The sequence below is a fragment of the Homo sapiens genome, chromosome 13 (assembly GCF_000001405.40).
Source record: "Homo sapiens chromosome 13, GRCh38.p14 Primary Assembly".
In the NCBI taxonomy this organism is placed as follows: domain Eukaryota; kingdom Metazoa; phylum Chordata; class Mammalia; order Primates; family Hominidae; genus Homo; species Homo sapiens.
The window spans coordinates 95,218,658-95,233,535 of NC_000013.11; the positions used below are offsets into that span (position 1 = coordinate 95,218,658).

Sequence of the window (14,878 nt, forward strand, 5' to 3'; positions counted from 1 at the left end):
ACTGGGCAACGTAGTGAGATCCTGTCTACAAAAAAATTTAAAAATTAACCAGGCATGGTGGCACATGCCTGTAGTCCCAGCTACTCAGGAGGCTGAGGTGGAAAGATCGCTTGAGCCCAGGAGCTCAAGGCTGCAGTAAGCAGTAATCATCCCACTGGAATCCAGTCTGGGCAACAGAGCAAAACCAAGAAAGAAAAGAAAAAAAAAGAAAAGAAAAGAAAAGAGACAGACAGATGAGAGAGAGAGAAAGAGAGAGAGAGAGAAAGAAAGAGAAAGAAAGAAAGAAAGAAAGAAAGAAAGAAAGAAAGAAAGAAAGAAAGAAAGAAAGAGTGAGAAAGAAAGAAAGAGTGAGAAAGAAAGGAAGGAAGGAAAAGAAAAGAAAGGGAAAAAAAACCATTAGCGTTTCAATGAGTGGTGGGGCAGTCAATATACATTGAAGGAAATTAGTACAATCTAATTAGTCAATTCTACCAATACCCATGGAAAGAACATGTAACACAGTTTGAGAGTAATCTGTTCAAAGGGGGGCCACATCCCCCCACCATGGCTGAAAGACCCCTCAGCCCCAGACCCTGCTATCACCAGTTTCTTTGCCTGAAAAACAAGCCCCAACTGAACTGGTTTATCGACTGAGAGGGGAACAGAGATGAGCAAGACATACTGGCAGGGCAACAGGAAGAAAAAGGAAAATATGGAGAGGGTGACAAGCCAGGGAGTGGGTAAAGAAGGGACAGTGAGGACATACATGGGGACAAATACATGGTCTAGGGTTAGGTCAGAGAAGATCATCTTAAGGAGAATATAAATGCAGTATACCCCCATTGAAGAGGAAGAAAAAAACCAAACTTCTGTCATCTTTTTGTTGTGTGTGTGTGACAGGGTCTTGCTCTTTTTGCTGGAGTTAAGTGGCATGATCGCAGCTCACTGCAGCTTCCACCTCTGGGGTCCAAGCAATCCTCCTGTCTCAGCCTCCCAAGTAAGAGACTATAGGCATGTGCCACCACACTTGGCTTTTTTGGAGGGTAGAACAGGGAGGGCCGAGGCAGAGACAGAATCTCCCTATGTTGTCCAAGCTGGTCTTGAACTCCTAGGCTCAAGCAATGCTCCCGCCTTGGCTTCTCAAAGTTCTAGGATTAGAGGTGTGTTTGGCATCCATCATCATTTTTTAAAAATCTTTTTTATCATGTTTTTCTTCTTTCTGCTTTTTTTTTCCCCCCGAGACAGTTTCACTCTTGTTGCCCAGGCTGGAGTGCAATGGCATGATCTTGGCTCACTGCAACCTCCACCTCCCAGATTCAAGAGATTCACCTACCTTAGCCTCCCAAGTAGCTGGGATTACAGGCATGCGCCATCATGCCTGGCTAATTTTTTTTTTTTTTTTTAGTTTTAGTAGAGACGGGGTTTCACCATGTTGATCAGGCTGGTCTCGAAATCCTGACCTCAAGTGATCCACCTGCCTTGGCCTTGCAAAGTACTGGGATTATAGGTGTGAACCAACGTGCCCAGCCTGCTTTCTGCTTCTAAAAGAATATTATAAGAAACAAATAAGAAATGTGTTTATAATGTATCTTCTCAAATATGACATGTTTCATGTGCCGTCTTTAAGACTAAGAATACTTGGAGGAAGCAATCTTCACTCTACAGACTCACCAAAATTTTACTAAGAATCAGTCAAAATGAAAATATTTTACATACGTGATTTTCCTTTTTTCCTAATGTTGTGTATTTATCAAAGTATTGACCTTGAGTAGGCCAGATATTCAGTAATCCGAAAGTAACAGTACACAGTACTGTAATACTGCAAAATTCATTCCATCATTCATTCCCATTTCAAGATTATCTTTGAAGCTTTAAGAAAATGAAGAGATTTGTGCAGCAGGAAAAAAAATGACAGATGTCAGAAAATGTCTTACTAATGACTTATTCACTAACATACATTTTTACAACCAAACATACCAAATGCAGTAATGCCTTCATCTCTTTCACTGATGAGGATAAAGGAATTAGGAGAAAAATGCACAGAGAGAGGAGGGACAGACACTCTTTACCAAGGTACCTCCTTCCCACTTTCTCGACTCTATGATAAGCATATCAAATAACAGCCCTGTGCCCACAGCTATTACCCCCAGGAGAGATCCAAAAGAGAAAATGACCCTGTTCCTTCAGCTAATGGGTCCCAGAGGGAGTAGAAAGGAGAAGATGAGGACTTCAAAACACATCAGGACACAGGCAGTTGCTCAGAGCAAGAAGCCAGAAAAGGGTAGAATCTCAGAAATTCTTTCCTCTTCCACTACAGCTAAATAAAGGTTCAGCACCACAGTTGAGGATCAGGGTGAGGCAGAAGTTTTTCACTAAATGCTGAGAAAATGTATGACATAAACCCCAAAATTAAATTTACCTGAGGACATGATGCGAAGTGAGATAAGCCACTCACAAAAGGATAAATATGGTATGATCCCACTTGGATGAGGTCCCTTCAGTAATCAGATTATTACAGACAGAAAGTAAAATGGAGGACACCAGAGGATGACAGGCAAGAGCCACCATGCCTTGCAAAAATTACAAATTTTATGTGACAGATATTTTTTTGAGACAGGGTCTCACTCCAGTGCCCAGGATGGCGTACAGTGGCACAATCATGGCTCACTGAAGCCTCAACTTCCTGAGCTCAGGTAATCCTCCCACCTCAGCCTCCCAAGTAGCTGAGACTACTGGTACACACCATCATGCCTGGCTGATTTTTGTATTTTTTGTAGAAACAGGGTTTCACTATGTTGCCCAGGCTGGTCTTGAACTCCAAGGCTCAAGCGATCCAGCCATCTGAGCCTCCCAAAGTATTGGGATTACAGGTGTAAGCCACCATGCCTGACCGTTATGTATATTTTACCACAATTTTTTTTAATTTTTAGTAGAAAAAGATTAAAAACAAATCAATTATGTTTGAAGGCCTGACAGTAAATAAGCACAAAATACAAATTCTAAACCTAGAGAAATATGTTAAAAAAAAAAACGAGAAATAAAAACATTTTCAGGGCAGGGCAATGAAAAAATGTAAAAATTTGCTATAACAGGATGTCTTAGAAGATAGAAAAAAGGAAAAAACAGAAAAAAAACTAAAATTTAAAAACTGAATTAATATTTTTAAAAAATAAATAAATCATTGGCCATGATTTCAATATAAGTCCTGGGGAAAGGAATGCAGAGCCTCATGCGGCCCTTTCCCTTTCAAGGAAGCCACGTCCAGCCTCCCTCTCCACACCTGTTGTTCCCTTCGCCATCCTCTAGTACAGAAACTTCCCTGAGGCACAAATTAAATATACAGATTTCCAGGCCCTTTCTCTAGAAATTCTGAAACAGCAGGTCAGGTCTGAGATGGCCCCAGGATTGGGGTTTTTGTTAAGCACACAGGTGACATATGGCAGATGCTGGAGCCCCTCAGTCTTGCATATGCCCTCACCCTCCATCTATTCAGTAAGGAAGTTAAACAGGCATGTCCTACAGCTCACACAACCACACCCTATACTGTACACTTGGAGCTCCCAGCTCCACAGCTCATAAACATCTGGGCTATTCAACTAGCAGAGAGACTGGGCTCTGGCCACGGCTAAGTGGCTCATACCATAACGGCCCACTCCTCTGCCTCAGAACTGTACAACACTAGAAGGCAGATGTCTCCAGACACCAAGCATTGCCTTGGCTCTGAGCTAGGACACCACTTTCCGACTGTGGCAGTGAGCTGAAGTCCAAACACATCACAGCAGCCCTGCTGAGCAAAGGGGTGGAGGCCAGAGCTTGGGTTAGTTAAAGCCACTGGCATCTGCATGGCCCTGGACAGTAAGCAGGTATCAGAAGGGAAGGGCCCCAGAAGGCTGTGGGGTGGGGGTGCTACAAGTCCTTGGCTGATGCGCGGGCACAGGTCAAGGCCGCCCAAGCCTTAACAGAGAGCTGGTGCTGAGGAGGAGTGAGCTGAATAGAGATACTGAAGGTCAAGCTGAGGTGAGGTACTGAAATTCTCACCAGACCAGAGTGCGGAAACCTCATTCATATATCATTAACACACCTGGCATACGGTTGAAACACCAGAGAGATCATGTCTTAGAATTCAAGAGCACTATCCAGAGAAATAATTCTCAAACAGGGCAATTTTGCCTCCCAGGAGAGATGTGGCAACGACTGGAGGCACTACTGGTTGTTACAACTAGAGGGACGCTTTCGGTATCTAGTGGGCAGAGGCCACAGATGCTGTTCAACATCTTACAATGCACGGAGCAGCCTCTCCATCCCCAAAAAGAAATTATTTAGCCCTAAATGTCAAGTGCTACCCAGGTTGAGCACTAAAAAAGAGTTAACTCTAAACTTGCCCAAGAAAAAACAAGCACTACCTAACAGGGCCTGCAAATGACACATGTTTTGAATCTTGAGTCCCATCAAGTTAGAGAAGCTTGGAAAACACCTGAAAATTTCCAAAGTTCTGCCCTAACAAAGCATAAAAAACAGGCCTATGAGTTCAGCCAGTTAATATGGTATTGGAGTAAAATTCAATACTTTTTAGAATTATCAGAAGTCAGACATACAATGTATCATCCAAAATGTCCACAATAAAAAACCTTAGACATGCAAGAAAGAAAATTTAACTCAGGGCAATAAAGAAAGCAGTCTTCATAATAAAAACCAAACCCCTCAAATATATAAATAATAAAAGTAAATCCAAGTAGGCACACACATTGGATTTTAAGATTTACAGAAACAAGTATAAATGTACAATGGGTTAGTATGTTCAAAGAAACTGAGGAAAAATATGAGTAAAGAGATAGAGATTTTCAGCAAAAAAGTGTAAAGTTTTTTGTTTGTTTGTTTGTTTTTTGAGAAAGAGTCTCACTCTCACCCAGGCTGGAGTACAGTGGTGTGATCTCAGCTCACTGCAACCTCTGCCTCCCGGGTTCAAGCGATTCTCCTGCCTCAGCCTCCTGAGTAACTGGGATTACAGGCGTCCGCCACCACACCCAGCTAAATTTTGTATTTTTAGTAGAGATAGGGTTTCACCATGTTGGCCAGGCTAGTCTCAAACTCCTGACTTCATGTGATCTGCCCGCCTTGGCCTCCCAAAGTGTTGGGATTACATGCCACCGTGCCTGGCCAGTGTAAAGTATTTTTAAAAAGAGCCCAATAAACACTCTAGAGCTGCAATACTGAAATGAGAAATAAAGGAGAAAAGAAAAATCACTGGCTGGTCTTATCAGCAGTTTAAAAGCAACAGAGAAGATTGAATAAAAGTGAAAAAGACTGACTGTCCTATAAGACAATCTCAAATAGTTTAATATATATGTAATAGGAGTCCAAGAAAAACAAGAGTGTGAGAATAAGTCAAAAAAAACTTAAGATATAATGGTTAAATATTTCCTAAACTTTACAATAATAAAAAGAATCAAATCAAAGATCCAAGAAGCTCAGCAAACTCCGAGAAGTATAAATACCAAGTAAATTATACCTAGGATCATTATCAATCCTCTAAAAAATCAGTATCAAAGAGAAAAAAAAATCAACCCAAAAAAAAAAAAAGAGAAACATTACAAACAAGGTAATAAAGATACAAATGATGGCTAACAACTTATTAGAAAGAATGAAGGCCAGTTGACAATGGAACACCTTTGAAGGGAGAGGGGCAGACACCACCAGCTATCACCCAGAATTCAACATCCAGCAACCATGTGCTTCAAAAGAAAAAAAAAAATTTGTTCAGATTAAAGAACAAAATGAGAGAATTCATGGCCAGCAGACTTCTACTATAAGAAATGTTGGCCAGTCGTGGTGGCTCACGCCTGTAATCCCAGCACTTTGGGAGGCCAAGGCAGGCAGATCACTTGAGGTCAGGAGTTCAAGACCAGCCTGGGTAACATAGCAAAACCCCATCTCTACCAAAAATACAAAATTTAGCCAGGTGTGGTGTCACATGCCTATAATCCCAGCTACTCGGGAGGCTGAGACAGGAGAATCACTTGAACCCGGGAGGCGGAGGTTGCAGTGAGCCGAGATTGTGCCACTGCACTCCAGTCTGGGTGACAGAGTGAGACTCTGTCTCAAAAAAAAAAAGAAAATAAAGAAATGCTAATAGATGTTTTACATGCTGAAAAAAAATTATATCAAATGGAAACCTGGAGCTAAAGGGAAGGAATGAAGAGCACCAGAAATAGTAATTCAGTGGGTAATTTAAAAACTATTTTTTTCTTCTTTTAAATTGTGGAAAGACAACTGAATAATTAAAGCATAAATATTGTATGGCGGTGAAGATGAGGGGATATTAAATACAAATAAACCTTAAGCACAAATGAATCCAGTAAGAAACTTTAAATACAAGTGAATCCAGTAAGTCAGGATGCAAAAAGTTCATGATTAAGGAGAAAAAGAGACTAACTCTCATAACCGGAGATTTTAACTTCTCTCCCTTCTTCTCTCCCTCTCCCCCACTGTCTGTCTGTCTGTCTGTCTCTCTCTCTCTCACACACACACACACACACACACACACACACACACACACACACACACACAGAGTATATTTGTTTTTATCCAAAGGCATGATTATCTAAATAGCTATCCTAAGGAATCAGCCAAAAATTACTGCAACTTAACGCACTTTAGCAAGGTTTCAGGAAACAAAGCAAAAATACAAAAATCAATTGTATTTCTATATACTAACAACAAACGGTAAGTGAAAATTTAAAATACGATTTATGGCCGGGCACAGTGGCTCACTCCTGTAATCCCAGCACTTTGGGAGGCCAAGGTGGGTGGATCACCTGAGGTCAGGAGTTCGAGACCTGCCTGGCCAACATGGTAAAATCCCGTCTCTACTAAAAATACAAAAATTAGTCGGGTGCAGTGGCATGCATCTGTAATCCCAGCTACTCAGGAGGCTGAGGCAGGGTAATTGCTTGAGCCCAGGAGGCGGAGGTTGCAGTGAGCCAAGATCGTGCCACTGCACTCCAGCTTGGGCAACAGAGCGAGAGTCTGTCTCAAAAAATAAATAAAATAAATAAATAAAATACCATTTATAACAGCACAAATGCTACTTTGAATTATGGCATTCTTTTTTAAATGCTAACAAATATAAAAATATAAAAATATAAAATATAAAAATATAACAAATGATCTTTAAGACCTCTATCCTAATAATTACAAGGAGAGTTAAAGATCTAGGGCTTGGCGTGAGTGGCTCATGCCTGTAATCCCAACACTTTGGCAGGCTGAAACAGGAGAATCAATTGAGCTCAGGAAGATCATCCTGGGCAACATACTGAGACTCCATCTCCACTTAAAAAAAAAAAAAAAAGAAAAAGAAATGTATAAAGATGTAGATAACTGAGGAATAGGTAAATACACTATTTTCTTAGACTGGAAATCTAAATAATGTTAAGATGCCCACTCTTAACATTAATAGTCAGGTGGATAGAATTGCCCTGTTGGAGAATTACTTCTCCAACAGGGCAATTACTTCATCTGGAATTACTTCATCTGGAATTCTAAGACCATGTCTTAGAATTCAAGATGCATAACCCAACAGTTTCCTGTAAAACTTGAAAAGCTGATTCTAAAGTCAATATGAAAATGCAAGAGACTTAGAATAGTCAAAACAATCATAAAAGAAAAACAGGTTGGGTAACTTTCACTATTTGATTTATAAAGCTATAGTAATTAAGATAATTTGCTATGAAGAAAGAATAGATTCTATCCATCTGACTACTAAAGTAAAACAAAGAAAATATAGATCAACAAAACAGAATAGAGGATCCAGAAAAAGATTCACACATAAATGGCCATCTAATCTACATTTTCTCCAACTTAATTCAATGGGGAAAGAGTAGTCTTCAACAAGTTGTTATCAGGAAACTGGCCCTGGGAAGCGAATGTGCTTCTCTTAAGATTTTACAGCTTAGAAAATGACAGCACTGAGATGTGAACTCAGGTCTGACTGCTCTGAGTCCATGATTGCTCTCAGAGTCCACACTCAATCTCTACCCTTGCCAATCTGCCACTAGAGGACTTCATGGAGTCTTCTACAAAGTGCCTGGACACCTGACTCAACACCCGGGCTCTCCTGCATATGAGATTCCCAGACCAGATGGTAGGACACTCGGGCTGATGAACAGCTACCATGCTTGAGGTTTATACCTACAAGTCCGAAGGAGTTATTCACCAATGAGGGGGATTAAACCCGCAACCCATATGCTATCTCTGTGAACTGGAAGGTCTTAGTTATAAAGCATAAAATTAAGCTGAACACATATTTGAGGCCTATTAGTATCACATAGGAGCTTTTAAAATTTCCCTAAAGCAATTAAATCAGAATGTTTAGGGGAAGAGTCCAGACACCAGTGGTATTTTAAAGATTTCCCCTCATGAATACAACAGAGAGCAGTTTGAGGAACCACTGAGCTAAAGCATTTTCTTCCAGTTTGCACCCACACCCCAGTGAAGCAAATACAATTATCAGATGATGGGACGCATCTGACACTCCTAAATCTCCAGCAGCAGAAATTTCCTCTTGGAAAAATCCAAACAAAACAAGTCCTCCCTCCTTAACTTGCTTTCTTAGCTCAAACTCCAAGCTATGGAAAGTTAACTTGGCTCCTCTTAAGCTATTCCCTAGCAAACTAGAAGACTGACAAATTGTCCCTTGATGAGATTAATGTCTCACAAAATGCCCAGGTACAATTCAAGTTCACATCAGAAGTAAAACCAAAAACTGTGGGGGAGAAAAGTTTTTGAAACAAAAATTTTAACGTATTATGGACAATGTAAGAAGCACTACTGGGTCATTCTAATTTTGTCAGAAACTTAGAAAATAACATTAGAAGAGGAAGTCCAACCAAAGTATCACATGTGTCCAGGGAGATAACTTCCACACACACCACACAGTTTCACTTTGACAACACTGTCAAGAGGCTCTCTACGAATCTTCAGAAAGGAAACCGATCTACAGACTAATAGACAAAAGATTAGTTTGAGCCATATGAAATTGCTAGTTTTGTAAAAAGGCCCAAAGGAGTTGAATATATGTAATTTCTTTTTTTTAAAGAAGAGTCTTGTTCTGTCACCCACGCTGGAGTGCGGTGGCACGGATCTCAGCTCACTGCAACCTCCACCTCCTGGGTTCAAGCAATTCTTGTGCCTCAGCCTCCCAAGTAGATGGGATCACAGGCGTGCACCACCATGCCAGGCTAATTTTTGTATTTTTAGTAGAGATGGGGTTTCACCATGTTGGTCAGGCTGGTCTCGAACTCCTGGCCTCAAGTGATCCACCCACCTTGGCCTCCCATAGTGTTGGGATTACAGGTGTGAGCCACTGCACCCGGCCCTGAATATCTGTAATTTCATACTATTCAGTCTAAATATAAAGCAATATACAGTCTACAGTGAAATAAAAATAGCTTTAAATAAAAACAAAAGTTCTGTTTTAAAACTAAGACCACAACACTGTATGGCTCAGTTGCTGACAAAATTTGCTATCAATTGTCTGTCCACATCCACTGAGAAAACCCAGAGGGAGACGGGGTGGGAAGACTGGGATGCAGCCAGAGAGCTACAGGTGGCTGCAATCTTCTCACCATCAGCGCATGACGGTGCATTTATTTTTTTTACTTCAGGTTCTACTTATTGCATAGGGCGGCAGACATGACTTGGGAAGGGTGCACAAGCCCAGCCTCTCTGTGCATTATGGGAGGGCACCTTCCACTTCCTACTCAGTCTGTGGTAGAGGAGGCTGTCTGCTGCTCTGACCACTGACCTAAAAATATACCTGCCCTGCAGCAATGCCAAGAAAAGAGAAGGAAAAGATCAAGGCCAGGCGCAGTGGCTCACACCTGTAATCCCAGCACTTTGAGAGGTCAATGTAGGCGCATTACCTGAGGTTTGGAGTTCGCGACCAGCCTGGCCAACATGGTGAAATGCCGTCTCTACTAAAAATACAAAAATGCACCACCATGCCTGTAATCCCAGCTACTTGGGAAGCTGAGGCATGGGAATCACTTGAACCCGGGAGGCGGAGGTTGCAGTGAACTAAGATCATGCCACTGTGCTCTAGCCTGGGCGACAGAGCAAGACTCTGTCTTGAAAAAAAAAAAAAAGCCAGGAGTGGTGGCTCACACCTGTAATCCTGGTACTTTGGGAGGCCAAGGCAGGAGGATCCCTTGAGCCCAGGAGTTCGAGACCAGCCTGGGCAACATAGGGAGACCCTGTCTCTTTAAAGAAAAAAAAAGGAAATGGTCAAGAGGAGAGGGTTCTCAAATGAAAAGATTAAAAGAAACAGGAATTCTTCCCCCAGAAAGATGAAGAGTACCTGATAATATGAACTCTGGATGGAGCATCCAAGAGAATATATACATGTATTCCTGGAGTATCCATATTCCCTGCATACAGGGAATATGCATTTCCCCCCAAGTTACAGAATTCTAAAAAGAGAACCACACAGTATCACATAAATGGTTAAACAATACACTTAGGGTAACTACAAATATTTCTCAACACAGAAATCTATAGAGAGCACCCCTCTGAGATACACTACATACATATATTCCATATATTCTTCTAGGGCAGATCTGTAATAAATGATAAAGGAAAACTAGAAAGTCTGCAGGGACTCAACACACCTTAGAAGGTGGAAGATGAAGGACAGACAGATACTTTACCTCAAACTATCCTTCAGAGTAACTCTAAAGAAAGTGAAGACGAGCAGTTTTATCCAGAATAAAAAGTTTCCCCAAACTTTCTCAATTCTGCAAAAAAGTCTGCAAACAGCAGAGAGGAGCACCAGCAAGCAGGCTCAGGTACTGCTGTAGCTTTACCTGGCATTCAGGACAAGCCAACCCAACATCAAAATCCACAACTCAGAAGCCAACCCACTGCAGGAACCACCACGGTTCTTCAAATTAGATACAAAGTCAAGAAATCTTGAGCTAATTAGGCCACAGATCTTAAGGAAAAGTCTCTATGCCTAATGTATTTGATAATACAAAAGCTGGGATGACAAGCCCATCCTGATTAATGAAACTGTCCTCCATTCCATCGTAGGTCTAGCATTCAGATGTTTAGCATTCAGGCTCAGATCTATCCTGGCCCTAAGTCAAGGTAGGCAAGGGCAAATGGGAGATCCAGTCTCACTGGTGGCTGGGGCTGAAGATCTTCAGCTATCCTTAATCCAGGCTCAGTTTGACTAAAGGGACCCTCTTCCTCCAACATGGAGCCAACTCCCCAACTCATGTGCTCTAAGCTATAGAAGTAACCCCTTGAGACTTGAAGATGGACACATCCCCTGCTTCTGTGTCCCAGATAGCTAAAAAGTAAAAACAGGAGATAAGGCACTGTCCCCACTGCAGAGGTTATACGAACCCATGCTGGGAATATGACTTGTGACTGACGACATTCTAACATGAGCAAGTACAATGTTCAGCACACTATTGCCATGAGGAGCCCATATTCTTAATGCCAATCTGTTGACCTCACTTAAAATACAGCCTGTGCTGCACAGTCTTTTTATTTGGTAAAAGTTGTAAGAAATAACACAGAGTTCCGAGGAACCTGAACAAACCACCATGAACCATTTCAACAGACCACCCTTGGAGCCATCAATCCAAATTAAAGCTAGTCATGATTCATAAAAACATCTCATTTAGTTCTCAAGTTAAACAGACAAATTATTAAAGAATAAGTGGGAATGTAAAATGGTGTGGCCACTGTGAAAAACAGTATGATGGTTCCTCAAAAAATTAAACAGAATTACCACATAACCCAGCAACTCCATCTCTAAATAAATATATACTCAAAAGTATTAAAAGCAAGGACTCGGCCGGGTACAGTGGCTCACGCCTGTAATCCCAGCACTTTGGGAGGCCAAGGTGAGCAGATCGCGAGGTCAGTAGTTTGAGATCAGTCTGGCCAACATGGTGAAACCCTGTCTCTATTAAAAATACAAAAATTAGCCTGGCGTGGTGGCAGGTGCCTGTAGTCCCAGCTACTCAGGAGGCTGAGGCAGGAGAATCACTTGAACCCAGGAGGCAGAGGTTGTAGTGAGCTGAGATCATGCCACTGCACTCCTGACTGGGTGACAGAGCAAGACTCCATCTCAAAAATAAAAATAAATGAAAACTAAATGCAAGGACTCAAAGAGATAATTGTACATTCGTGTTCATAGCAGCATTGTTCACAATAGCTAAAAGGCAGAAATAACCCAAATGTCCGGTGGCAGATGAATGGATAAACAAAATGAGGCATATCCAAATAGTGGAATATTATTCACTCTTTCAAAGGAATTAAAATCTGGCATACAATACAACACAGATAATCCCTGAAGACCTTATGCTACATGAAGTGAGCCAGACAGAAAATAACAAATACTGTATGATTCTACTTCTATGAAATACCTAGAGTCATCAAATTCATAGAGCTGGAAAGCAGAAGGCTGACAACTGTGGAGAGGGGAGAGTGGACACCAGTGCCTAATGGGTACAGAGTTTCCACCTGGGAAGATGAACAAATTCTGTCGATGGATGGTGGGGTTGGGAGGCACAATGATGTGAATGTACTTAATGCAAACGAACTACTACTGTACACTTAAAAAGAGTTAAAATGGTAAATTTTATGTTATGCATATTTTATTACAATAAGAAGAAAAATTAATGATGAAAAGCCTAAAGTAATTTTACCAAAGCTGTGAAAAAGTAAATAAATGACGAGTCATTTTCAGACATCCTGCAAGATCATTCAATACCAAATGTCGACGACGGGCTCGGCAGTCATTCCATTTGCAACAGCCAACCTGATTTCTGCCAGACCGGGAATCAGGATATGGGGGCCTCAGTGGAAACTGCCAGTGTCGCAGAGGGACCTTTCAGAGTCCTGCTGCAGAGCCAGCCTCTGCCCCAAGGAAGCAGCCCACGTGTGAGGAGGAAGTGTCTTATTTCTTCACCTGGGCATGTTTCCACATACAAGGCAGGACATGAGGATATTCGTCTTTCCCACGTTTCTGGGATTTCAGGTTAAGTCTTATGGTTTAACCCAAGCAATTTTTGACTTCATAAAGAGACAATACTTCTAAGATAATCAAGCTGACAAATTAATACCTTTGGGAGATGTTTACATGCAGGCAAGCAAGTCTGCCGAGTTAGATCAGATTTCCCAAAGGCTATTTTCCAAAGCGTTAGTGGAAAAGAGGAAGAAAAACAGGTGAACAGTATCTCACTTGTACAAAGAGCTGTGTTTTACTGAACCACTACCTCAAACCGGACTTCATGTAGGGTGTTTTTAAAGTTTGCCAAGTGGAGTGTTAGTGAAAATTTTTATGAATTTATTAGAAGTATGATCTTGAAAGACAAAAATCTAGCTAGTTTATAGAAAAACCTGAGTATTCTTCTCCTAAATGGTAGAAGAGAGTACAGGAGAATAACACAGATGATGATGATGCTGCTGCTGCTGATGATGATGGTGGTGGTGGTGGTGGTGGTGGTGGTGATGATGATGAAGACCCCTTGACTAGTGTGTACAAGCCTTGTTATCATTTTCATGTCACACATGAGGAATCCGGGCATACCTGTTATACTGTACCATAGACACTAAGACACGAGGCCTCCAGGATTCACAGAATTATAAGATTGATTCCCCCATGTCAAAGGAAGACTTGGGGAGGACACCTTACGGACACTCTGGATAAGTGACAACGAGGTCAAAGAAGAATACTTTAAATTTAAATGGGCTGGGTGCGGTGGCTCCCACCTGTAATCCCAGCACTTTGGGAGGCCGAGACGGGCAGATCACAAGGTCAGGAGTTCAAGACCAGCCTGGCCAACATGGTGACACCACGTCTCTACTAAAAATACAAAAATTAGCTGGGTGTGGTGGCCCATGTCCATAATCCCAGCTACTCGGCAGGCTGAGGCAGAAGAATCGCTTGAACCCGGGAGGTGGAGGTTGCAGTGAGCAGAGGTTGCACCACTACACTCCAGCCTGGGCGACAGAGCAAGACTTCATCTCAAAAAAAAAAAAAAATTTAAATGGCTTAAAAAAACGGCCCAGGACAAAGAGATATCCAGGACTGATTTAATGACAAGTTCTTTAGCTCTTGACACTAGCATCTCTATGGCAACTTCTCAGCAAAGCAACCAGAAATCCCACTCCTTCTATAACAGTTAAGACCACAGCAAACTATGGTATTATTTATGGCATATCTCAATACAAAAGCACAAATAAAATAAGAAAATATCAAATCAGGTCTTATCATTATTACTGCCCTAATGGGAAAGAAAATACAGTCAGCCTTTCCTGTGCATGGGTTTGGCATCCCTGGACTCAACCAACCTGGGGTTGAAAATATTTGGGGGAAACAAAATAGGTGATTGTGTCTGTACTGAACACACACAGATTTTTTTCTTGTCACTATTCCCTAAACAGTTATTTGTTTATAGTACCTAATACAATGTATATTTACATTATACAATGTACAATTATATAATGTACAATTTACAATGTGCAATTAAATAATGTACACTTTACAATGTACATTATATAACTGTACACAATGTACATTGTATATTGTACATTATATAATGTATATTTACATTGTATTAGGTATTATAAGTAAACCAAGATGATTTAAAGTACATGGGAGTGCACCCATAAAAAAAAAAAAAATCATGTCCTTTGCAGCCACGTGGATGCAGCTGGAGACCATTATCCTAAGCGAATTAACGCAGGAACAGAAAACCAAATACCAGATGTTCTCACTTATAAGTGGGAGGTAATCATTGGGTACAGATGGACATAAAGATGAGAACAAAGACACTGAAGACTACTAGAGTTGGGAGAGAGGGAATGCGGCAAGGGCTGAAAAACT

General features: G+C 41.3%; 1 protein-coding gene across 6 annotated transcripts in view, besides 1 other annotated feature; it reads right to left on the minus strand.

Moving 5' to 3' along the window:
- ABCC4 (ATP binding cassette subfamily C member 4 (PEL blood group)) overlaps positions 1-14,878 on the minus strand; it is a 281,617-nt gene that overhangs the window by 198,823 nt on the left and 67,916 nt on the right. The window lies entirely within an intron of this gene.
- Positions 7,938-8,232: a silencer, noted in NCBI's record as "tiled region #4491; K562 Repressive DNase matched - State 5:Enh". NCBI's record gives its function as "represses a minimal TATA promoter and a strong SV40 promoter by Sharpr-MPRA in K562 cells {active_cell/tissue: K562}" and the evidence as "EXISTENCE:reporter gene assay evidence [ECO:0000049][PMID:27701403]".